This window comes from Homo sapiens, chromosome 13 (genome assembly GCF_000001405.40).
Source record: "Homo sapiens chromosome 13, GRCh38.p14 Primary Assembly".
Lineage (NCBI taxonomy): Eukaryota > Metazoa > Chordata > Mammalia > Primates > Hominidae > Homo > Homo sapiens.
Genome location: NC_000013.11, coordinates 20,867,525 through 20,891,732, shown reverse-complemented (window position 1 = coordinate 20,891,732; position 24,208 = coordinate 20,867,525). Strand labels below are relative to the sequence as shown.

General features: G+C 40.2%; 1 protein-coding gene across 4 annotated transcripts in view; it reads left to right on the top strand.

Annotated features, from left to right (window-relative positions):
* XPO4 (exportin 4) overlaps positions 1-24,208 on the top strand; it is a 125,446-nt gene that overhangs the window by 11,042 nt on the left and 90,196 nt on the right. For 3 of the 4 annotated variants that reach the window (NM_001372061.1, NM_022459.5, XM_047430541.1), the window contains exon 2: positions 23,032-23,137. In NM_001372061.1, coding sequence (NP_001358990.1) covers positions 23,032-23,137 — 106 coding nt within the window. Of the gene's footprint in view, positions 1-10,014; positions 10,080-23,031; positions 23,138-24,208 lie in introns of all 4 variants that reach the window. The other variant, XM_047430537.1, reaches the window with a different exon arrangement.

Below are 24,208 nucleotides of genomic sequence, written 5' to 3'. Positions count from 1 at the left end.
CGCTGCCACGCCTGGCTATTTTTTTGTATTTTAGTAGAGACAGGGTTTCACTATGTTGCCCAGGCTGGTCTTGAACTCCTGAGCTCAGGCAGTCCGCCTGCCTCAGCCTCCCAAAGTGCTAGGATTACAGACGTGAGCCACCACGGCTGGCCCAAGAGCCCATCTTTTTTAAAAAAATAGAGAAATAATAACCACTACCTCAGGGAGTTAGTGCAAAGATAAAATGATTTAACATACATTGAAAGAAAAGTGTTTAGTATAGTGCCTGGGGTATAGTAAGTGCTCTGTAAATGTTAGCTGCTATTTTGTACTTTAATGTATCAAATAACATGGCATCAAATCAAGATAACCTTATAGTAAGCACTTGATAAATACATGTTGAGTTAATTAGATTTCTTCTAGAGTAACACTAGCTGATAGAACTTTCTGTGCTGATGGAAGTGTTCTTTATCTGCTCTCTCCAATGTGGTAGCCACTTACCACATTCGTCTTGAGCTCTTGTAACATGGTTAATGTAAGGGAGCCACTGTGGTAGTGGCTACTGTGTTAGACACCACAAGTCTAGAGTGTGGCCGTTTGTTCTTTTTTTTTTTTTTTTTTTTTTTTTTTTAAATTGAGATGGAGTTTTGCTCTTGTTGCCCAGGCTGGAGTGCAATGGCTTGATCTTGGCTTACAGCAACCTCCACCTCTCGGATTCAAGCAACTCTCCTGCCTCACCCTCCCAAGTAGCTGGGATTACAGGCGTGCACCACCATACCATGCCTGGCTAATTTTGTATTTTTAGTAGAGACGGGGTTTCTCTATGTTGGTCCGGTCAGGCTGGTCTCAAACTCCTGACCTCAGGTGACTGGCCCACCTTGGCTTCCCAAAGTGCTGAGATTACAGGCATGAGCCAATGCTCACAGCCTGCTCCTTTTTTTTTTTTTTTTTTTTTGAGGCAGGGTCTCATTCTGTTGCCCAGGCTGGAGTGCAGTTGCGCAATCTCGGCTCACGCCATCCTCTGCCTCCCAGGCTCAAGCAGTCCTCCAGCCTCAGCCCTCTGAGTAGCTGGGGGTACAGACAGACACCAACCATACCCAGCTAATTTTTGTATTTTAGTAGAGACAGGGTTTCACCATGTTATCCAGGCTGGTCTTGAACTCCTGAGCTCAAGCGATCTGCCTGCCTCAGCCTCCCTAAGCGCTGGGATTACAAGCATGAGCCACCTTGCCTGGCCATGCTCTTTGCGTATTTCTTCTGATTTGTAAATACTGATTTCAATTTCTTTATTTCTTTTTTTTTTTTAGACAGAGTCTTGCTGTGTTGCCCAGGCTGGAGTACAGCAGCACAATAGCAGCTCACTGCAACCTCCACCTCCTGGGCTCAAGCAATCCTCCCACCTCAGCCTCCCAGGTAGCTGGGACTATAAGCATGGGCCACCATGCCTGGCTAATTTTTGCATTTTTTGTAGAGACAAGGTTTGTCTGTGTTGCACAGGCTGGTCTTGAACCCTTGGGCTCAAGCGATCCTCCCACCTCAGCCTCTCCAAAGTGCTGGGATGACGGGCATAAGCCACCGTGCCCAGCTCCTGATTTAACATTTCAAATAATTCTTATAGGTTCTAGCTCATTATTTCTGGTTGTTGCATTCCCACTGTCAAAATGCAATACTGATTTTAGATATTAAATGCATCCTTAACAGGTTTCTGTCTTCTTATTACTTCTGGTTCTTTTTCTTGCTCTAGCATCAGCAAAGCACAATGCTTTTGACAACATTGGTGGCACACAATATTGGTGAAGAGAAGATGAATATTCTTTGCTTTGTAGTTATAAATCATTTTCATTTTTAGATTTATAAATGGCAATTAGAGTCATCAAAACAGTTTTTCATTAACTTTATATATACACCTACCTTTAGCATTTGCCCACTTACGAACTGTATCAAGCAAATTTTTTACACACAAATCAAAGAAGATGAAAGAATGATATCACATGTCGTTTCAGCAAAACAGATTGTTTTGGATTCTTGTCACAGAATATTGGGTAATGATGTAATTCTCGTGTAATGACTGTCAATGAGATTACCATATTTTTTTCCTTGGAAGTATGTTCGTTCATTGATTGTTGAGTTGGAGAAAATTCATTTAGGGCAGGATTTCTCAAACTTGCCATTATTAGCATTTCGGGTGGATACTTTTTGTTGCTGAGGGCTGGTTCGTGCATTGTAGGATGTTTAGCAGTGTCCCTACCCTCTATCCACTAGTTGCCATTAGTGCTCCCCAGTTGTGGCAACCAGAAATGTTTCCATACACTGCCAGATGTCCCTTGGGGGACAAAATTACCTAAATTAAGAACCACTGATATAACATCATCATCTGAAGACTCAAGGTCTGAGATGACACTTACGTGATCCATTTTACCATGATTGACAGCATCTAGAGCAGTTCAGTCTGTAGAAACTTTCTGCAGTAATAGGAATATTCTGTATTTGTGTTTTGCAATGTGATAATTACTAGCCATGCGCACATGGCACTTGAAATATCCCTAGTATATCTGAGGAGCTAAATTTTTAATTAACTTAAACTTAAACAGTCTCATGTCTAGTGGCTACCGCATTGAAGAACACAAAAAGAGTGTCTTTTTGCCGGGTGCAGTGGCTCACGCCTGTAATCCCAGCACTTTGGGAGGCCAAGGTGGGTGGATCACTTGAGGTCAGGAGTTCGAGACCAGCCTGACCAACATGGTGAAATCTCGTCTCTACTAAAAATGACAAAAAAATTAACTGGGAACTGGGCATGGTGGCACACGCCTGTGACCCCAGGTACTTGGGAGGCTGAGGCAGGAGAATCACTTGAACCCGGGAGGTGGAGGTTGCAGTGAGCCGAGATTGCACCATTGCACTCCAGCTTGGGCAACAAGAGCGAAACTGTCTCAAAAAAAAAAAAAAGTGTCTTTTTGCCTTCATCCTCTGACTTATCTCATAATTGTGAATGTGAAATGTCTTTTGTCAGTTTTCTTCTCTTTGTCATTATGATTGGGAAATGAAAAATTTCTAATTCTCAACAGTATTCAATGAAACCTTTCAAAAAAGACCACCAGACTGGGTGCAGTGGCTCATGCTTGTAATCGCAGCACTTTGAGAGGCCGAGGCAAGCAGATCACTTGAGCCCAGGAGTTTGAGACTAGAGTGGGCAACATGGCGAAACTCTGTCTCTACAAAAAATAAAAAATAAAAAATTATCCATGTGTGGAGGCCTGCACCTGTAGTCTCATCTACTCAGGAGGCTGAAGTGGGAGCATCCATTGAGTCTGGGAGGTCAAAGTTGCAGTGAGGTATGATTACAACACTGCACTCCATCCAGCCTAGGTGACAGAACAGACCCTGCCCCAAACAAAACAAAACCCCCACCAGGTTTCTTTTATATCTTCTCAAAAGATCATGCCATATACTTGGGGCAATGTAGTAAAAAAAATTGAGGGTAATGTAATAGGGTTGATTTATTTAGTTATTGCCTCTCTCTTCCATATCATTTCATCATTCATTTTCTTATTATTTTAGTCTTTTTTTTTTTTTTTTTTGAGATGGAGTTTTGCTCTTGTCGCCCAGGCTGGCATGCAATGGCACAATCTTGGCTCACTGCAACCTCTGCCTCCCAGGTTCAAGCCATTCTCCTGCCTCAGCCTCCCGAGTAGCTGGGATTACAGGCGTACACTACCATGCCTGGCTAATTTTTCTATTTTTCGTAGAGACAGGGTTTTGCCATGTTGGCCAGACTGGTCTTGATCTCCTGACCTCAAGTGATTCACCTGTCTCAGCCTCCCAAAGTGCCGGAATTACAGATAGGCGTGAGCCACTGAGCCCGACCTCTTTTTTTTTTCTTTTCCTTTCCTTTTTTGAGACAGAGTCTGACTGTCGCCCAGGCTGGAGTGCCGTGGTATGATGTTGGCTCACTGCAACCTCCACCTCCCGAATTCGAGTGATTCACCTGCCTCTGCCTCCCAAGTAGCTGGGACTACAGGTGTGCACCACCACGCCAGGCTAATTGAAATTTTTTTATTTTGAGTAGAGATGAGGTTTCACCATGTTGGCCAGGCTGGTCTCAAACTCCTGACTTCAAGCGATCCACCAGCCTCAGCCTCCCAAAGTGCTGGGATTACAGGCATGAGCCACAGTGCTCAACCTTGTTTATTTTCTAATCTTAACTCTGTTTTGCATTTCTGGGATACCTAACTTGGTCACAGTGTATATTATTATCGTCATTATTATTTTTAACATCCATTGTTGGATTTGGTTTATGAAATATCTTTTTATTAATATTTTTAATTGACATAATTGCATACGTTTGTGGGGTATAGTGTAATGTTGTAATGTTTTAATATATATATACAACGTGGAATGATTAAGTCAAGTTAATTAACATATCCATCACCTCCCTTATGTGAAGTATCTTAAGATTTCTTCTTCTGTGTTCATGAGTAGGATTGATGTATAAATTTCTTTTCCTCCACTGTCCTCATCTGGTTTTGCTATTGGCATATTTATGATGATATGCTAGGCTCTTAAAATGGCGTAAGGAGTGTTTCCTGTTTTGTAGTCTCTTGAAGAAATCTGTATAGGATTGGAATTGCTGTATTTATCACAATAAATTTGTTTGCTATCCTTTTATTTATTTATTTTTTTTTTGAGACGGAGTTTCGCTCTTGTTGCCCAGGCTGGAGTGCAATGGTGCAATCTTGGCTCACTGCAACCTCCGCCTCCCAGGTTCAAGCAATTCTGCCTCAGCCTCACGAGTAGCTAGGATTACAGGCATGCACCACCACACCTGGCTAATTTTGTATTCTTAGTAGAGACAGGGTTTCTCCATTTTGGTCAGGCTGGTCTCGAACTCCTGACCTCAGGTGATACGCCCGCCTTGGCCTCCCAAAGTGCTGGGATTACAGGCATGAGCTAACACGCCCAGCCCTGTTTGCTATCCTTTTAATGTCTTTTTATTTTCCAAGGCATCTGTAGTTGCTTTCTCTTTTAATTCTTGCTTGTTTATATATTTGTGTTTTTCCTCTCCAATTTTATTAGTTATTCCAAATAAAGAACTTTTGGCTTTTTTGTTTATTGTAAACTATAGTTTTATTTTGTTTTGTTTTGAGACAGAGTCTTGTTCTGTTGCCCAGGCTGGTGTGCAGTAGCGTGACCTCTGCAGTCTTGAACCCACCGCATCTTGGGTTCAAGGGATTCTCCTGCCTCAGCCTCCCGAGTAACTGGGATTACAGGCATGAGTCACCACTACAACTAATTTTTTATATTTTTAGTAGAGACAGGGTTTTACCATATTGGCCAGGCTGGTCTTGAACTCTCAACCTCAAGTGATCCACCCGCCTCAGCCTCCCAAAGTGCTGGGATTACAGGTGTGAGCCACGCGCCCAGCCTGGCTTATACATTTTCTGATTTCCATTATGATTTTTTTTCATCCTTGAATTTTTCTAGTTTTTGTTATTGTTATGTTAAATCAATTTCTTACTTAATTGCTCTTGGTCAGGTAATATGTCACATACATACCAGTTATTTAAAATTTGTTTGGATATGCCTTACAGTCTAGTGTGTTGTCAGTTTTTGTTCAGTATGTGTTTGAAAAGAATGTGATATTCACTTAAAGGTGCAATGTATTTATGCTATTAAATCAAATTCATTAGATACTTCTGTCTCCTAAGCTAACAGTTACTGAGAGTTACATGTTAATCTTCCACTCTAGTGTATTTGTTGGTAGTTCTGTTTTGTTTTGTACGTATAAATTGTATTGCATGCCATTGTAGTTAAACCTTTTATAATTATGAGATGGCCCAGCATCTTTTAGTAATATTTTGCCCTAAATTCTGTTTTTCTCTGATAGCTACATCAATTTCATTAACTTTATTTTGATTAGAATTTTTTTCTACTTTTGTAAACTTATTTTATTTTTTCATTGTTATTTTAAAAATTGTTTTGTAGAGACAAAGGCTTGCTTCATTAACCAGGCTGGTCTTGAGCTCCTGACCTCATGTGATCTTCCTGCCTTGGCCTCCCAAAGTGTTGGGATTACAGGCATGAGCCATTGCATGAGGACTTTTTCCATCTTTGTGCTTTCAACCTTTCCATGCCCTTGAGTTTTATATGCATTTCTTATAAACAGCATAATTTTGGATTTTCTTTTTTATCCAGTCTGTCCATCTTAGTTTTTTATGTAGAGCATTTAGTTTATTACATTTTCTTGTCATTACTGATAAATTATAACTTATTTGTTATCTTACTGTGTGTGCATGTGATTTTTTTCTTTCTTGCCTTCTTTTAGGGTTTGATAATCTTTTGTTTCTCATTCCATAGTTTGTTGTCATAAACTATGTTCTTAGTTTTAATATCTTATTGACCACAGTAAACATTTTAACATGCATATTCAATTTAGTCCAAAGATAATATGTATATTCTGTCCCAGCCAGAGTAATACAAAGACTAGCTTAAAAATACCTCTCTCCTGGCTGGGCACGGTGGCTCATACCTGCAATCTCAGCACTTTGGGAGGCCAAGGCAGGCGGATCACCTGAGGTTGGGAGTTCGAGACCAGCCTGACCAATACGGAGAAACCCCATCTCTACTAAAATACAAAATTAGCCAGCGTGGTGGCGCATGCCTGTAATCCCAGCTACCTGGGAGGCTGAGGCTTGAACCCGGGAGGTGGAGGTTGCAGTGAGCCGAGATTGCACCATTGCATTCCAGCCTGGGCAACAAGAGGGAAACTCCGTCTCAAAAAACAAACAAACAAACAAAAAAACAAACCAAAAAAACCTCTCTTTTTACTTAATGCGCTATTGCTGTCCAGAGTTTTAATTGTCTTTTTTCATTTTCTCAAACTAATCTTTACTTGTTTTTGTGTTAAGAGACAGGGTCTTGCTGTGTCACCCAGACTGAAGCACAGTGGCTTAATTAAAGTTCACTGCAGCTTCAAACGTTTGGGCTCAAGTGATCCTCCTGCCTTAACCTCCCAGGTAGAATCATTTTAAAAATACAATACTTGGCCACGTGCAGTTGCTCATGCCTCTAATCCCAGAATTTTGGGAGGCTGAGGCAGGAGAATCACTTGAGCCCAGGATTTTGAGACCAGCCTGGGTAACATGGCAAAAATCCCATCTCTATAAAAATACAAAAAAATTTAGCCAGGTGTGGTGTCATGTGCCTGTGGTCCCAGCTACTCCGGAGGCTGAGGTGGAAGGACTGCTTGAGCCTGGGAGGTTGATGCTGCAGTGAGCCGAGATTGTACTACTGCAGTATACCCTGGGTGATAGATTGGATTGGATTGGATTGGATCGGATCGGATCGGATCGGATTGGATTATATTGTATTTATTTTTAAGAGACAGGGTCTCACCCTCTTGCCCAGGCTGGAGTGCAGTAGTGTGATCTTGTCTCACTGCACCCTTTGCCTCCTGAGCTCAAGTAATCCTGCTTCAGCCTCCTGAATAGCTAAGACTACAGGTGGAGGCCATCATGCCCAGCTATTTATTTATTTGAGAGACAAATCAATTTTTGAGACTGCCTTGTTGCCCAGGGCAGTCTTGAACTCCTGGGCTTAAGCGATCCTCCTGCCTCCGCCTCCCAAAGTGCCAGGATTACAGGTGTGAGCCACCTCACCTGGCCTTAGTGAACGTATTTAACAATATGTTTGGCCGGGTGTGGTGGCTCATGCCTGTAATCGCAGCACTTCAGGAGGCTGAGGCATGCGGATCACCTGAGGTTGGGAGTTCAAGACCAGCCTGGCCAACATGGAGAAACCCCATCTCTACTAAAATACAAAATTAGCTGTGTGTGGTGGCGCATGCCTGTAATCCCAGCTACTCGGGAGGCTGAGGCAGGAGAATCGCTTGAACCCAGGAGGCGGAGGTTGCGGTGAGTGGAGATCACGCCATTGCACTCCATCCTGGGCAACAAGAGCAAAACTCTGTCTCAAAAACAAACAAAAAAACCCAATACAATACGTTTACTCCATAGTCTTTTGCATTCAAGATCATTAATTTGGATTCACTTTACTTGAAGTATTTTCTTTAGAATTTTTTTAGGGAAGAGTACTTTGGTGGTAAACTCTCTTGGTTTTTATTTGTAGGAACATGCTTTCATTATACTCTAATCCCTGAAAGATCATTTTTCTAGATAGACATTTCTAGGTTAATAGTTATTTTCTTTCAATACCCTGAAAATGTTATTCTGGTCTCTCTTGTCTGACTTAACTTATTGCTCTAAGAAATACAGTTTAGTCTGTTATGCCTTACAAATATCTTTTTTCTTTGACTGCTTTTAAGGTCTTCTCTTTGAATTCTTCAGTTTCACTGTGATATCAGTAATACGATTTTTCCTCCTTTTCATTTAGTTTGGGATTCATTGGGTTTTCTGATTTTTAGTGTTTCTCATCAATTTTGGAATGCTTCTTTTCTTTAGCTTTGAGTCTACATCTTTCCTTTCTTTCTCCTCACCCATTGAAGCTCCATGCTGTGTCAGGCAAGGCCTGCCAAGAAACACTCAAAGGTGTAATTGAAGAGAGTTAACGAAGATAACTATTGACAGAGGCTTGGGGAGGGGTAAGATGTAAGGGAACCGCAAAGGATGGTAAAGCCATTCTCAGGGCCTGCAAGGGCAGGGCGGGATAGTGGAGAATTGGAGAGAGCTGTAGTTGTAGGGGAGAGCAGCCTTAGGGAGCTGTGGCTTTTGGTGGGAAAAAGGAAGCACTGGGACAGAGTGAGGAAGCCTGAGTCATGTGGTGTCTAGAGGTCAGCCTCTCGGGGCTCTGAGTACAGCAGAGAATGGATGGTCCCTTTATTCTCTTACACTCCCTGCCTTTTTTTTTTTTTTGAGACTGAGTTTTGCTCTTTTGCCCAGGCTGGAGTGCAGTGGCTCCATCTCGGCTCACTGCAACCTCTGCCCTACTGGTTCAAGCGATTCTCTTGCCTCAGACTCTGGAGTAGTTGGATTATAGGTGCCCACCACCACACCTGGCTAATTTTTGTATTTTTAGTAGAGATGGGATTTTGCCATGTTGGCCAGGCTGGTCCCAAACTCCTGACCCCAGGTGACCCACCCACCTCGGCCTCCCAAAGGGCTAGGATTACAAGCATGAGCCACTGCGCCTGGCCAATTCTCCTAGACTCTTTATGATGTGGTTTGGATGTTTTGTCCTCTCCAAATCTCATATTGAAATGACTTCTGATGTTGGAGGTGGGCCTAGTAGGAGGTGTTTGGGTCATGAGGTGGATCCCTCATGAATGGCATGGTGCCTCCCTCTGAGTTCACCGGAGATCTGGTTTAAAAGAATGTGGCACCTCCCCCCACTTGCTTTCTTTCTTGCCATATGATATGCTGGCTCTCCCTTTGCCCTCTGCCGTGATTGAAAGCTCTTGGTCTCACCAGAAGCTGAGCAGATGTTGGTACCGTGTGTATGGCTTGCAGAAACATGAGCCAAATAAGCCTCTTTTCTTTATAAATTACCCAGTCTCAAGTATTCCTTTATAGTAATGTGAAGGGACTATCATGCTTCATGTTTGTGCCTTCCTATGTTTGTAATAATTTCCCATATCTGTCTTCAGTTTTTCCCAATTTTCTTTTCTTTCTTTCTTTTTTTTTTTTTTTTTTGAGACCGAGTCTTACTCTGTCGCCCAGGCTGGAGTGCAGTGGTGTGATCTTGGCTCACTGCAACCTCTACCTTCCAGGTTCAAGCGATTCTCCTGTCTCAGCCTCCCAAGTAGCGAGGACTACGGGCATACACTACCATGCCCAGTTAATTTTTTTGTATTTTTAGTAGAGACGGGGTTTCACCCTGTTGGCCAGACTGGTCTCAAACTCCTGACCTCAGGTAATCCACCCTCCTCAGCCTCCCAAAGTGCTGGGCTTACAGGTGTGAGCTACTGTGCCCAACCCCTAATTTTTTCCCCGATGTATCTAATCTGTTCTTTGATCTGTTTAGTGAGTTTTTAATGTATATTTTATTGAAGTATATTAACACAAGAAAATTCACAAATCTTAGGTGTCCAGTTTGATGATGATATGTGATTGTGTGTACTCCTGTAATTACCATCCAAACCAAACATAGTAAGTCTATTGATATTTATATTTCTTTTATTATATTGCTCATAAAAGTTTTCTTGTGATATCTTGCTTTTAAAAAAAATTATTGGCTGGATGTGGTGGCTCATGCCTGTAATTCCAGCACTTTGGGAGGCTGAGGCGGGGGGATCATGAGGTCAGGAGATCGAGGCCATCCTGGCTAACACAGTGAAACCCCGTCTCTACTAAAAATACCAAAAAAATTAGCTGGGCATGGTGGCGGGTGCCTGTAGTCCCAGCTGCTTGGGAAGCTGAGGCAGGAGAATGGCATGAACCCGGGAGGTGGCGCTTGCAGTGAGCCGAAATTTTGCCACTGCACTCCAGCCTGGGCGACAGAGCGAGACTCTGTTTCAAAAAAAAAAAATTATTGTAAAATTCAACATAAAATTTGCCATTCATATTGTTGTGTAACTATCACCAAAATTTATCACTATCTCCAGAACTTTTCCAAACTGGAACTATATACCCATTAAATAGCAACTTCCCATTTCCTCCTGCCTCTAATCCCTGGTAACCATGATTCCACTTTCTATGAATTTGACTATTTTAACTACCTTATATAAGTGAGATCATACAGTATTTGTCCTTTTGTGTCTGGGTTATCTTACTTGGCATAATGTTTTCAAAGTTCATCCTTGTTGTAATATATCTTAGTACTTCATTCCTTTTTTTTTTTTTTTGGAGGCAGGGTCTTGCTCTATTACCCAGGCTGAAGTGCAGTGGTGCAATCATGTCTTATTGCAGCCTTGACCTCCCAGGCTCAAGTGATCCTCCCACTTCAGCCTGCCCAGTAGGTGGGACTACAGGTGCAAGCCACCAGGCCTGGCTAACTTTTGTATGTGTTCGTAGAGATGGGGTTTCACCATGTTTCCCAGGCTGGTCTGGAACCCCGGAACTCAAGCAATCCACCCACCTCAGCCTCCCAAAGTGCTGGGATTTCAGGTGTGAGCCACTGCCCCCTACCGCTTCATTCCTTTTTATTTCTGAAGAATATTCCATTGTGTGAATATACAATGTTTTGTTTATCCATTCATTCTTTAGTGAACATTGGTACAGTCTATTAAAGCATTGCTTTCAGTTCTTTTGGATATATAGCTGGAAGTAGAATTACCGGCTTATATGATAGTTTTATCTTTGATTTTTTGAGGAACTGCCATACTATCTTCCCTAGTGGCTGTTCCTTTTTTTTTCTTTTCTTTTTTTTTTGAGACGGAGTCTCGCTCTTGTCGCCCAGGCTGGAGTGCAATGGCGCGATCTAGGCTCACCGCAACCACTACCTACTGGGTTCAAGCAATTCTCCTGCCTCAGCTTCCCGAGTAGCTGGGATTACAGGCATGTGCCACCACGCCCGGCTAATTTTTGTATTTTTAGTAGAGACGGGGTTTCACCATCTTGGCCAGGCTGGTCTTGAACTCCTGACCTCGTGATCCACCTGCCTTTGCCTCCCAAAGTGCTGGGATTACAGGCATGAGCCACCGCGCCCGTCTGTGGCTGTTCCTTTTTTTGTTTGGCTGTACCATTTCTACATTTCCACCAGCAGTGTACAAAGGTTCCAGTTTCTCCACATCCTCATCAACACTTGTTATTTTCTAATATGTCTGTTCTCATGGATGTGAGGTGATGTCTTGCAGTTTTGATTTGTATTTTCCTAATGATTTGGTATGTTGGACATCTTTTCATGTGCTTCTTGGCTATTTATGTATCTTCTTTGGAGAAATGTCTGTTAACGTCCTTTTTGTATTTTTTAATCAGGTTATTTGGTTTTTTGTCATTGAGTTGTAGGAGTTCTTTATAGATTACAGATATTAATCTTCTATCAGATAAGTAAATGATTTATAGTATTTTCTCCCATTCTGTGGATTGCCTTTTCATTCTTTTGATAATGTCATTTGATGTACAGAAGTTTTTAATTTTGGTGAAGTCTCCTTTTTACATTTTTGGTTCTTTTAAATATTTTATATTCTGTTTCTAACATTTCCAATATTTGTGAGTTTCGTTTGTCTGATTCTTTAATTTATTGTTCTGTAAACTTGTAGTGGCTTATTTCCTCGTGTGTTTAGTGAAATTTATATGTTAACTCTTGGAAATGTTTATGAAAAACTCTGAAGCCTGGATTCCTCCAAGTGCCTAGGTACATAGACAACACAGGACTACTTTAATTTTATTGGCTTCAAGTTTTTTGGACAACATGGGTCCTGTTGTGATGGGCAAGAGACCTGTCATAGGCCTGCTTGTGGGTATTCATTGTCTGAAGTAATTTACGCTCTTCCATCTATTGTTAAGGTCCAGACCGGCAAGTTAATCCTTCCCTCCCTTCTCCCTTCTTTTTCTCTTCCCTGGTCCCCCTCCTTCCGGTTTGTTTTGTTTGTTTTTTAAATAGTTTACCCTTGCGCTGAGGATCCCAGCTTTATGTGGAGGGATATCTTGTTAGATCCCTACCTGAGATGGGCCCTGGCTTTAATCTCCTGTCTTCTTTATGCTAGGCAGCTGTCAAAATGGAAGTTCAGGGTCACTAGAGGTTGGCACATGTCTCCAGGGTAAACACATGAGTGCTTGCATTCATCTTTGGATCCCTGCGTTCGCTTCTGTTTTAGCTTTTGATGATTCCTTAATTTCTTGTAAGCTCAGTGATGCACTTAAAATTTTTAAGAAATTTTGTCCACCATTTTTGTCTTGTTTTAGCAGAAGAGTTGTTTAAGGTCAGCTGTACTATCGAGAATAGAAGGCCCACTTATTTAAAGAAATGCAAGGTTTTAAATGGACAGAAAAATGCATACAGTAATATAAATTACATTCATATGCCTACCTCCTAGATTAGCAAATGTTCATATAGATGTTTTGCCTACAATCTTTTAAAAATATTAAGATATCACAGATATAATTGAAGCCCCCTTTGAGTCCTGTAGACACTGTTCCCTGCCTCGTCGACCTCATTTTCCACAGAGGCCATCATGGCTTCACAGTTGCTTATCCTTCCTTCCGTGCTTTTATACTCTTCCCGCAAATGTAAATAACATACTATTGAGTTTTAAAAATTTTATATAAATGGTGTATTGTACATGTCTTGTCATTTGCCATTTTCATTCAGAATAATTTTCAGGGTTTATCTAGGTTGGTAAATATAGCTGTAGTTCAATTTTTACTGGCTTTATAAACCAATGTATGACTATACTGCAATGTATTCTCTGTTGGTGGAAATTTAAATTGTTACTTCTTCTTTTTTTTTCTATTATAATGTTGTAGGAACATCTTTGTGGCCTTTGTATGTATGTGGGAAAGGGGAGAAGTTCTCTGGGGAATAAATGTCTAGAAGGTGGTAGAAGTGGACTTGTGCATACCTTGCTGGTTGGGACTATCAACTTTTTCTAGATAAGTCTCAATTCTAAGTGATTGTTCCATTTTATATTACCATTAGCAGTTTATAATGATACCCCAAACTTCCCCAAACACTTGTTAGTTTTTTTTTGAGGTGGCATCTGGCTCTGTCACCCAGGCTGGAGTGCCATGATGCAATCTTGGCTTCAAGTGATTCTCCCAACTTAGCTTCTTGAGTAGCTGGGACTGCAGGTGCGTGCTACCACGACTGGCTAATTTTTGTATTTTTAGTAGAGACAGAGATTTGCCATGTTACCCAGGCTGGTCTTGAGCTCCTGACCTCAAGCCATCTACCTGCCTTGGCCTCCCAAAGTGCTGGCATGAGCCACCATGCCCATCCCCAAACACTTGTTTTTGCACTTAATTTTTATCTAGCCAATGAGTCAGAAATGATAGTTCCTTGTTTTAATTTGCATTTCCATGTGTTACTAGTGAGGTTGAGTGTGTTGTCATGTTTAATATCCATTTTTACTTTCTACTCTGGATTGTCTAGCCTATTGTTCATTGGCAACATTTCTGTTGCATATTTGTTTGGATTAGGTTTGGCAGCATGTAACAAAAAACTAAAATTACAGTGTTTTTTAAAAAGATAGGTTTAGTTTTTCTCACATAAAAAGTATGGAGATAGATAGATATATATGTATATGAATGGTTTAGTGGCTGTAGGATGTCATCAGGGGCTTACAATTCTTCTGTTTTTCTGTTTTACTATTCTTAGAGGATATCTTCAATCTTTTAAGTCTTCTCATGGTCCCAGATGATTAGTAGAACTACAGCTATCATGTCTACTTCTGGGGAACAGGAAAGAAGAGTGTTTCTAGCTGAGTCATCTCCCTTTAGGGAATCCCACCTGAAACTTTGCTAATATCTTATTGGCCAGACTTAATCCCATAGATCCTCCTAGCTAGAAATGGGTCCAGGAAATGTCATTTTAGGTGGGTGGGTGCATTGCTGCTGAGCAAATAAAATTAGGGTCTTGTTACTAAGGAAGGAGAGAAGAGTGAAGGCATAGTTGTCAGTTTCTGCTATAAATTGTCTTTTACTTACTTTTGTGAATGTTGTTATGTTCTGGATATTAATCCTTTGTTAATTATGTCCAGTGCAATTATTGCCTTCTTGAGAGGGGAAGCCAGCTGGACTTCCTGGGTCGAGTGGGGGCACTTGGGGATCTTTTCTGTGTCTAGCTAAAGGATTGTAAATGCACCAATCAGCACTCTGTAAAAACGCACCAATCAGCACTCTGTGTCTAGCTAAAGGATTATATATGCACCAATCAGCACTCTGTAAAATGGACCAATCAGCAGGATGTGGGCATGGACAAATAAGGGAATAAAAGCTGGCCACCCCAGCCAGCAGCGGCAACCTGCTTGGGTCCCCTTACACGATGTGGAAGTTTTGTTCTTTCTTTCTTCACAATATATCTTGCTGCTGCTCACTCTTTGGGTTCGCACCACCTTTAAGAGCTGGAACACTCACCCTGAGGACCAGGAACCCACCAGAAAGAATAAGTTCTGGACACATTCTCATCTGTGACTAGTCTTTCACTTTACTTAATGGTGCCTTTAAATTTAGGAGGTTATGATTTTAATATAGTTCAATTTACTAATTTTTAAAAAGAATTTTTGCTTTTTATTAAGAAATTCTTCCCTACTTTGACATCATACTTTCCTATGTTTTCTTCCTATTAAAGTTTTGCTTTTCATTTTTAAATCTTAAGTTCACCTGGAATTTATTATTATGTACAATATGAGTAACTGTCTACTTTTATGTTTTTCCTTAGAAATTGCCAGTTGTTCCAGCACTATTTAAACAGACTATACAGTCTATTTTTTTTCTCATTGATTTGTCATATGTCATAGGTTTGTTGCTGGGAATTTTCCCCATTCCATTGTTTTTTCTGCTCTAATACCGTTTTTCAAAATTACTATTATGTCTTCATACGTGTTTAGATTTAGTTGGGTATTACCCCCTTCTTATTCTTTTTTTTTTTTTTTTTTTTCCGAGATGGAGTTTTGCTTTCATTGTCCAGGCTAGAGTGCAATGGCGCAATCTTGGCTCACTGCAACCTCTGCCTTCCGGATTCAAGTGATTCTCCTGTCTCAGCCTCCCAAGTAGCTGGGTTTACAGGCATGTGCCACCACCCAGCTATTTTTTTTTTTTTTTTTTTTTTGTATTTAGTAGAGATGGGGTTTCACTATGTTGGTCAGGCTGGTCTCAAACTCCTGATCTCAGGTGATCCACCTGCCTCGGCCTCCCAAAGTGCTGGGATTACAGGCGTGAGCCACCTCGCCTAGCCTCTTTTTTTTAAATTAATTTGACCCTTTTGTGCCTTTACCCTTACATGAGTTAGGATTATCTTGTCATATAAACCCTATTGGGATTTTAATTGGAATCGTATTACTTGTTATAGATTAATTTTGGGAGACCTGTATGCTAGTGCAGTTCTCCTATCAATTATGAGATGAATTCATTAGCAGCATTTTGCAGGTTTCCCAACTAGTGTGCTACAGAAATGGGATTAGAAACCAGGTCTTTCTGGTTCTGTAGCCCTGAGATTGTGTAAAGGGGTTTTTGAGATAGGGCAGGCCTGTTTGTAAACAGAAGGGACCACTGCTAAGGACAACTTTTAAGATAAGAAGGAAAGGAAAGACAAAGAAGGAACCGAGGCTTTATGTGAGAGAGGAGGACATAGATTTAAGAGGCAGTTATGGAGGAGGGAATATTTTGCAAGAAATTGGAGAAGGTGATAGAGGAAGAACATTGGGAGGAAAAGAGACTTTAAAACGGAAGATATGTAAAGGAGCTTATACTAGAAGACTCTTTTTGAAAGGACATCTTTCAAATTTGAAAGGGTAGCTTTGCTAGGGAGACAGGGATTAGGGCAGTGACTCTCAAATTTGTTTTGCTAGAAAGGCCCAAAACCTGAAATTTATAGTACTCTTTGTGGAATATTATGAAATATTGTTATGGCAAATTTAATTTAACAAAATGTTTCATTTTGTGTTAATGGATTTAAATTTAGATAGGATCACTGGTAACCTCCAAAAAGTAAGGAAAGATTATGGAGGGAAAACTGAAAGTTGAGCAAATTTTTATCACTAACTTAAAATTTTTAGTGAATGAGTCAAAGACTACCAGTATTTATGTTTTTGGTTGGTACATCTATCGTTTTCTAATTAGACTATTAAACCATCTGTCTTAGTCAATTTTCTGCTGCAATAACAGAATACTACAAACTGGGTAATTTATAAAGAACAGAATTTTTTTTTTGAGACGGAGTCTCACTTTGTCCCCCAGGCTGGAGTGCTGTGCTGCGATCTTGGCTCACTGCTACCTCCACCTCCTGGGTTTCAAGCAATTCTCCTGCCTCAGCCTCCTGAGTAGCTGGGATTATAGGCACCTGCCATCATGCCCGGCTAATTTTTGTATTTTTAGTAGAGATGGGATTTCACCATGTTGGTCAGGCTGGTCTCGAACTCCTGACCTCAGGTGATCACCCGCCTCGGCCTCCCAAAGTGCTAGGATTACAGGCGTGAGCCACCGCACCCAGCCAAGAACAGAAGTTGATTTGGTTCATGGTTCTGGAGCTGGGAAGTCCAAGAGCATGGTGCCGGCATCTGATGAGGGCCTTCTAGCCGTGTTATCCTGTTGCAGAAGGACAAGTGAGCCATGAGCAAGAAAGAGAGAGAGAAAGAGAAATAGGGCCTAATTTAACCTTTTATCAGGACCCCACTCTTGAGTTAGTTGGCATTAGTCTATTAATAAGGGCCAAACCCTCATGACCTAATCACCTAATCGTGGCCCCATCTCCCAATACTGTTACAATGGCAATTAAATTTTAACATGGGTTTTGGCGAACAGATTTGAATCATAGCACCGTCTGTCTCTGTCAAAGATAAACAAGAAATTAAACCTAAGAAATCCTTAAATGAGCTCTATGATATGAGTTGAACATGTGTTCTTTTCTAGTTTTGTAGCTTATTTCATATCTACCAGTAATGCCAGATTTTCAGTTTGACTTTAATATTCTCACATTTTCGTGTTTTTTAATGGTCCTATAAATGATATGTATAGTAAGCCAAGAATATTATTCAGATTTCTCTACTAGGTATCTGAGAGATGTTAGTCTACCCAACTGTGTGTCGCCAGCAGTAATACTTAAGGAGGTTCAAAGCATGGGCTTTAATGTCATGCAGACCTAAGGTCAAATTCTGGTTATGATACTTACTAACTTTGTCATCTTGGGCATGCAACAATTTCTGAATCCTGTTTTCTCCAGATGTAAAAGAGGGGAAATAATTCCTACAGAGATGTTTTGGGGATTAAATGAGATAATGCATGTAAAGTATTTAGCCTTCTGCCTGGCAAATAAGTAGTAGATGTTGTTGTTAATAGTAGTAAAAAAGTTACAATTTTACAATTATTGCTGCCCAGGGAAAAGAAGAATCTAAAGGTCCTGTAGAAAATTAGCTGGGCATGGTGGTGCGTGCCTGTAGTCCCAGCTACTAGACGAGCTGAGGCATGAGAATTGCTTGAACCTGGGAGGCGGAGGTTGCAGTGAACCGAGATTGTGCCACTGCACTCCAGCCTGGGTAACAGAGTGACTCTGTCTCAAAAAAAGAAAGGTGCTGTGGGATTTGTAGGATTTGACAATTGGGATTCCTGACTGTTTTGAGGAAAGGATTAGTAACACGATAGAGGAAGAAGCCAAAATGAGTCAGTGCAGGCAGAAATTATAGACTCATGAATTATTTATGTGACTGTTTAGTGCCTGTGTTTCCTAATAGAATTCCATAAGGACAGGGCTTTTTCCCTTCCTTTAGTATCCCTAGTTTCTGGCATGGTGCTTGGCATATAGTCAGCCCTGAAAAATACTCTTTGAATAGAAACCATTTAGATATTTTGGTGTCTCTCTGTCTCTCCTTGAAATATGTCAGTTAATCTATTCATTAGTAAGTAATCTTTAGAGTTCTAATTTTGGATGCCCCTAGAACAGTGATCGTGTTCTCCAGATTTTGTGAACTGAAGGCAACTGAGCTGGGCTTGGAGGGTCATGCTGAGGGTTGGGGCTAGAAACCCCAGTCTATTGAGTTAGGAATTTGTGAGCTCCAACTCTGGAAACAAATCTCAGTTTTTTCCCATCCTTGTTTTTTTTTTTTTTTGAAGATCCTTGGAATGGTCACGGGTCTCTACTACCACCTCCTATTGCTTCCAATCCTTCTGATTTATGGGATTCCATCTCTGAAGTGTGAAGCCTTTTTAAGCTTTTACTGTAGTGGCAATGATGAGAACGTAAACAGGGAATTCAAAAAGCCCCTTTATTACTCTTTGTTTACTGAAGCTTCACAGGCTATGCAGAACACTTTAATGTCTGTATTGGGTCCTGGAGGAAAACTTTTAGGGAAGATTTTTTTCTTTTCTACCAGACAGCCTTAAGAATGATGAGTCTTACATAAATTTGAGCTATGTAAGTGTAGTTTCTGTTAAGAGTTAAGACCCTGGAGTCATACTACCTGGGTTTAATTTTCAGCTCTGCTTCTTACTGATAGTGTGACGTTGGGCAAATTACTTATTCTTTACATACCTCAGTTTCCTCATCTGTAAAATGAGGATAATAATATTTCCTCCCATAGAGTTGTTAGGATTAGTGAGATTACCTTCCAACTTCCCTCCTCCTTCCTGTCTTTCTTCTTTCTTTCTTGTGTATGTATCTATCTAAAATAATGCCTCGTATCCTAAATGCTCAATAAATGTTAGTTGCTATTAAATGCCTCTCTCTTTTGTATGTGGTAGGCCCTAGGAATTTAGAGAGAAATAAAGTCACTGGTGTCAGAGAAATAATAAAAGGAAGGGTAGGGGGCAGCAAATAAAGGTTTGTAGTCCATTATGCTAAGTTGGGTAATAGAGATGGACAAGCAACGTGTTATGTGAGATGAAATAGAGATGTTAGTTGTGCTTGGACAACTGGGGAAAGGTGAGTGAAGGTTGATGAAGGAAGCAGAGACGGAAGCAGATTTTTGAAGGGTAACTTAAGATTGTTGAAGGGTAAGGAGTTTGACAGTGGGGAGTTTTATGGGTCAGTACCACTTGGGGAACTTTGAGGGAAAAATGTGTATTTTTGGTTTTGACTCCCAGCCTGTTGAATCTTTTGGGGTTGGAAATCTATTTGCCAGTTTTAAAAGGTTTCCCGGACTGTCTGGTGCAGATAGCTTGCCATTTGGAAACCATTGCCAAGTAGATTTCAAGAAGGAATTTAAAATTCTGGTTGTAGAAAAACTAAAGTGACTACCATCCTGCCATTTAATATATTGACTTGATAATTTTATTGTTTGTATGATAATATTTAACCAGGTGGTTAATATAAATCAACTTTTAGATTATACTTTACTATTTCTAAAATCTGACATAAATAGAATATCATCTTCATTATATTAATATATTCAGACCTGTTCTTTCTAGTAGATTAAGTATATGTGGATATGAGGATGTCTTTTGGATTAACTTTAGACAATTTTTGTTTGTAGAATAACTAGCATATTAATTTGCACAATTATGGATATGTTGTGCTTTTCAAGGATGATAAGAAAGAATGTATGATCCAGAAATTGCTTGAGGAACTCATAGATTCGTATTTGTAGCAGTATAACATGGGTAGTATCGTTTACTCTATGCCATACAGAGAGTCAGTAATGTCAGCAGACTTTGGGATTTTGTAATCCAGAGTGCTGGGATTACAGGCATGAGCCATGGTGTCTACCCTCTACAAAAATTTTAAAATTAGCCCTGTGTGGTGGCATGCCCCTGTAGTCCCAGTTACGGAAGAGGCAAAGGCGGGAGGATCCCTTGAGCCCAAGAGTTTGAGGTTACAGTGAACTATGATCATGCCACTGCACTCCAGCCTGGACGACAGAGTGACACTCTGTTTTAAAAAACAAAACAAAAAAGACTGGGCACGGTGGCTCATGCCTGTGATCCCAGCACTTTGGGAGGCCGAGGCGGAGGTTGCAGTGAGCTGAGATCATGCCCCTGCATTCCAGCATGGGCAACAGAGTGAGATTCCGTCTCAGGAAAACAAAACAAAGCAATAAAACAAAAACCCCACAAACTCATCTTGTTGAACTAGAAAAGGTGGTGGGAATAAAAAAATTTGAAAATTGGCCGGGCACGATGGCTTACACTCATAATCCTAGCACTTTGGGAGGCCAAGGCAGGCAGATCACTGAGGTACAGGAGTTGGAGGCCAGCCTGGGCAGCATAGTGAGACCCCATCTCTACAAAAAATACAAAAATTAGCTGGGCTTGGCGCATGCCTGTAGTCCCAGCTACTGAGGAGACTGAGGCAGGAGGATTACTTGAGCCCTGGAGGTTGAGGCTGCAGTGAGCTGTGATCATGCTACTGTACTCCAGTCTGGGCAACAGAGTGAGGCTGTCTCCAAAACAGACAAAAAACACAAAAAGCAAACAAAATAATTTGAAAATGGAAAGACAAAAATACTTCTAGAATATAGTTTGCTGTTCAGTTTTTTTTTTTTTTGAGGCAGAGTCTTACTCTGTCACCTAGGCTCTAGTGCAGTGGCGCGATCTTGACTCACTGCAACCTCTGCCTCCTGCGTTCAAGCGATTTTCTTGCCTCAGCCTCCCTAGTAGCTGGGATTACAGGCTCCTGCCACTGAGCCCGACTCATTTTTGTATTTTTAGTAGAGATGGGGTTTCACCATGTTGGCCAGGCAGGTGATCTACCCGCCTTGATCTCCCAAAGTGTTGGGATTACGGGCATGAGCCACCGCACCCAGCCCTCACAGTTTTATTAGTAAATTTTTTTTTTTTTAATTGAGATGGAGTCTGGCTTTGTTGTCCAGGCTGGTGTGCAGCAGCGGGATCTCAGCTCACTGCAACCTCTGCTGCCTGGGTTCAAGTGATTCTCGTGCTTCACCCTCCTAAGTAGCTGGGATTTACAGGTGTGCACCACCATGCCTGGCTAATTTTTTTGTATTTTTAGTAGAGACGGGGGTTTCACCATGTTGGCCAGGCTGGTCTCGAACTCCTGACCCCAGGTGACCTGTACTCTTCGGCCTTCCAAAGTGCTGGAATTACAGGTGTGAGCCACCACACTCAAAATTCTTTTTAAAGAAGTGTTAAAGAATTTAACACAATTCTTTTTTTTTTTTTTTTTTGAGACTCCTTCACCCAGGCTAGAGTGCAGTGGCGCCATATCAGCTCACTGCAACCTCTGCCTCCCGGGTTCAAGCGATTCTCATGCTTCTGCCTCTGAGTAGCTGGGAGGTGTGCACCACCACACCCGGCTAATATTTTCATATTTTTAGTAGAGACTGGGTTTCACCATGTTGCCTGGCTGGTCTCAAATTCCTGATCTCAAATTATCCTCCCGCCTTGGCCTCCCAAAGTGCTAGGATTACAGGCATGAGCGACTGGGACCAGCCAACACAGTTCTTTAATGGAAATATTTTCATTTTTATTTAGAGAACTGTAGAGGGTGCTATATGATTAGGAATAGTAGTCTGAACTGGCTTTAGCTAATTATAAGAATTCTCTGAAGCCAGAGATTCACAGTAGTTAATTTTTCCTGGGTGAATAACTTTTTTTTTTATTATTTTGACTGAAATTAGTGACTAATGTTGCATAATTGATATAATTTATAATGAGTGTTGATCTAATATAATTGATTGTAACATTTTTCATCATCTAGATTATTTAATATAATTGAAATTATGAGTTGCCCTCTTTATTCAATGGTTTGAATAATAAAGGTTTATTTTCCTGCCATCTACCTCCAGCCCCCTTTCCCAAATTAAGTATTTGTAAGTCTTAATAGGTTAAAAGTTAACTAAACCATGTAACAGGAATGTACGTTTTAGGTAGATCTGGCTCAGAAGATTATTATCTTTAGAAGAACGATTGTTAACACCAAAATGGTATTTAAAAACTTGGTCAGACTTTAGAAATTGTTTTTGTTAAGAGAGAAGTCTAGATTTTTTTGAGTGATTAATTTATTATTCAGAAATACATTTCATAAATTCCAAACTTTAACTGTTCCCAAATTTTTCTGGTTTGATAGTGATTTTAGAAAACTTGAGGTGAAATAATATTTGATCCTGTGTCTTAAAGGATTGCTTTTGGAAACTGATTTTTAGTAACTTGGATTCAATATCCCCAGTATTGAAGAATTTTGAAGTTATTTGAACTAGGTCAAGTTAGTCCAAGTGGTATATTTTGGAATAAAAGGTGATAATAAGTCAACTAATTGTTAAATCCCCCAAAAAATGTTAGATAAGTATCTGTTTTTCTAAAATGCAGGTTTTTTAAAAACCTTTAAAGGATTCTGACCCAAACCTTGCCAGGAATTTTTTCCTTTTTTCTGAAACCATGTTTTAAACATTTATTATCAAGTTTTATACTATAATTCCTTAAAAAGTTAAGCAAGAATTTGTTCCTCTTGCCCCCCAAAAGTGAAGGCATTTTCTGTTCTTGTGGGTAAAAATATTGATATTATTTAAGCTTTGTCATTAGATAAGTGTATCTGTTCTTGTCTTTAACTCTCAAGGCACCACCTTCCATGGTCAATAATGAACAACGCCAGCATGCAGAGCACATATTCTTATCATTTAGGAAATCAAAATCACCATTTGCAGTTTGCAAGCATATTTTGGGTAAGTATTCACTTAAAAAATATAAAATATTTTGGCATAATCAGATCTGGGTTTGCTGTCTTAAACATTAGCTATTTTAAATTCCTTTTTAAAAACCTGGTTTGTGTAGTTACAATTATTTAAATTAATAATCATTCTACTGGAGTAGCTTTAAAGATATTCTGTAAAGCCAGACGGGAAACTTTGTTTTTACTTTGGATTTTTCCCCCCTAGATATAGTGTTCATAATTTGTTTTATTATTGACCATAACATGAAGGCTGTTAATAGTAAAGAGAAAAATTTAGTATTTTTTCAGTTTTCAAATGTCATTTATTACAGGGTATGTACTATAGTATCTTTTAGCCCAGTCTTAGTTTTAAAATTGAGATTGTTTTTGGAGATTTCTACATTTTCTTTTAGTTGTTTTCCATAGTTTTTTTTTTTTTTAACCATTTAGTTTGTACTCAGCTTGCTTAATGAATATCAGTCATTTCTGCGTAGGGTATCACTGTATGTATCCTAAAATAAAGCACTGATTTTTACTTTTGTCAAATATGTTTTATGAGTATCTTATGTCTGACATGTACAGAAAAGATTTCTTCTAAAAGAATCACAAGAAATATAACTCTTATCCAAAGATGGCATTTTCTAAGAGTTATATATGATGTGCCATCTGTCCCTTAGATATTTTTCAATAATAGTAAGAGAGACTTCATTGGTTATTGTTATTTTATAAGCTGATTACTGCTGGCTGATTTTTTTAGTGGGAGCCATCTTTTGTAAGGCTCTAGTAGGCTACTTGAGTCATCTGTGACCATAAAATTGGTTAGTTGAGTATTAGGAACTAGAACATCTGACTTTTATTCTTGTGCTTTTAGTAAGGCTTATCTATAGCTACCAATAGGCTGGTTTCCAGATTGAAATAAACTACAATTAAAGTTATGTGTTAAAGGTGCTTTACATATAAGGACTTATGGAAGAGAGTTGTTCGATTGTAGTGGAAAGAGTGCTGATGTAGCAACTATGACATCTAGGTGCCACTGGTGCACCTTGAGGAAGTCAGTTCACCTCCCTGGGCCTCTTTTTCATCT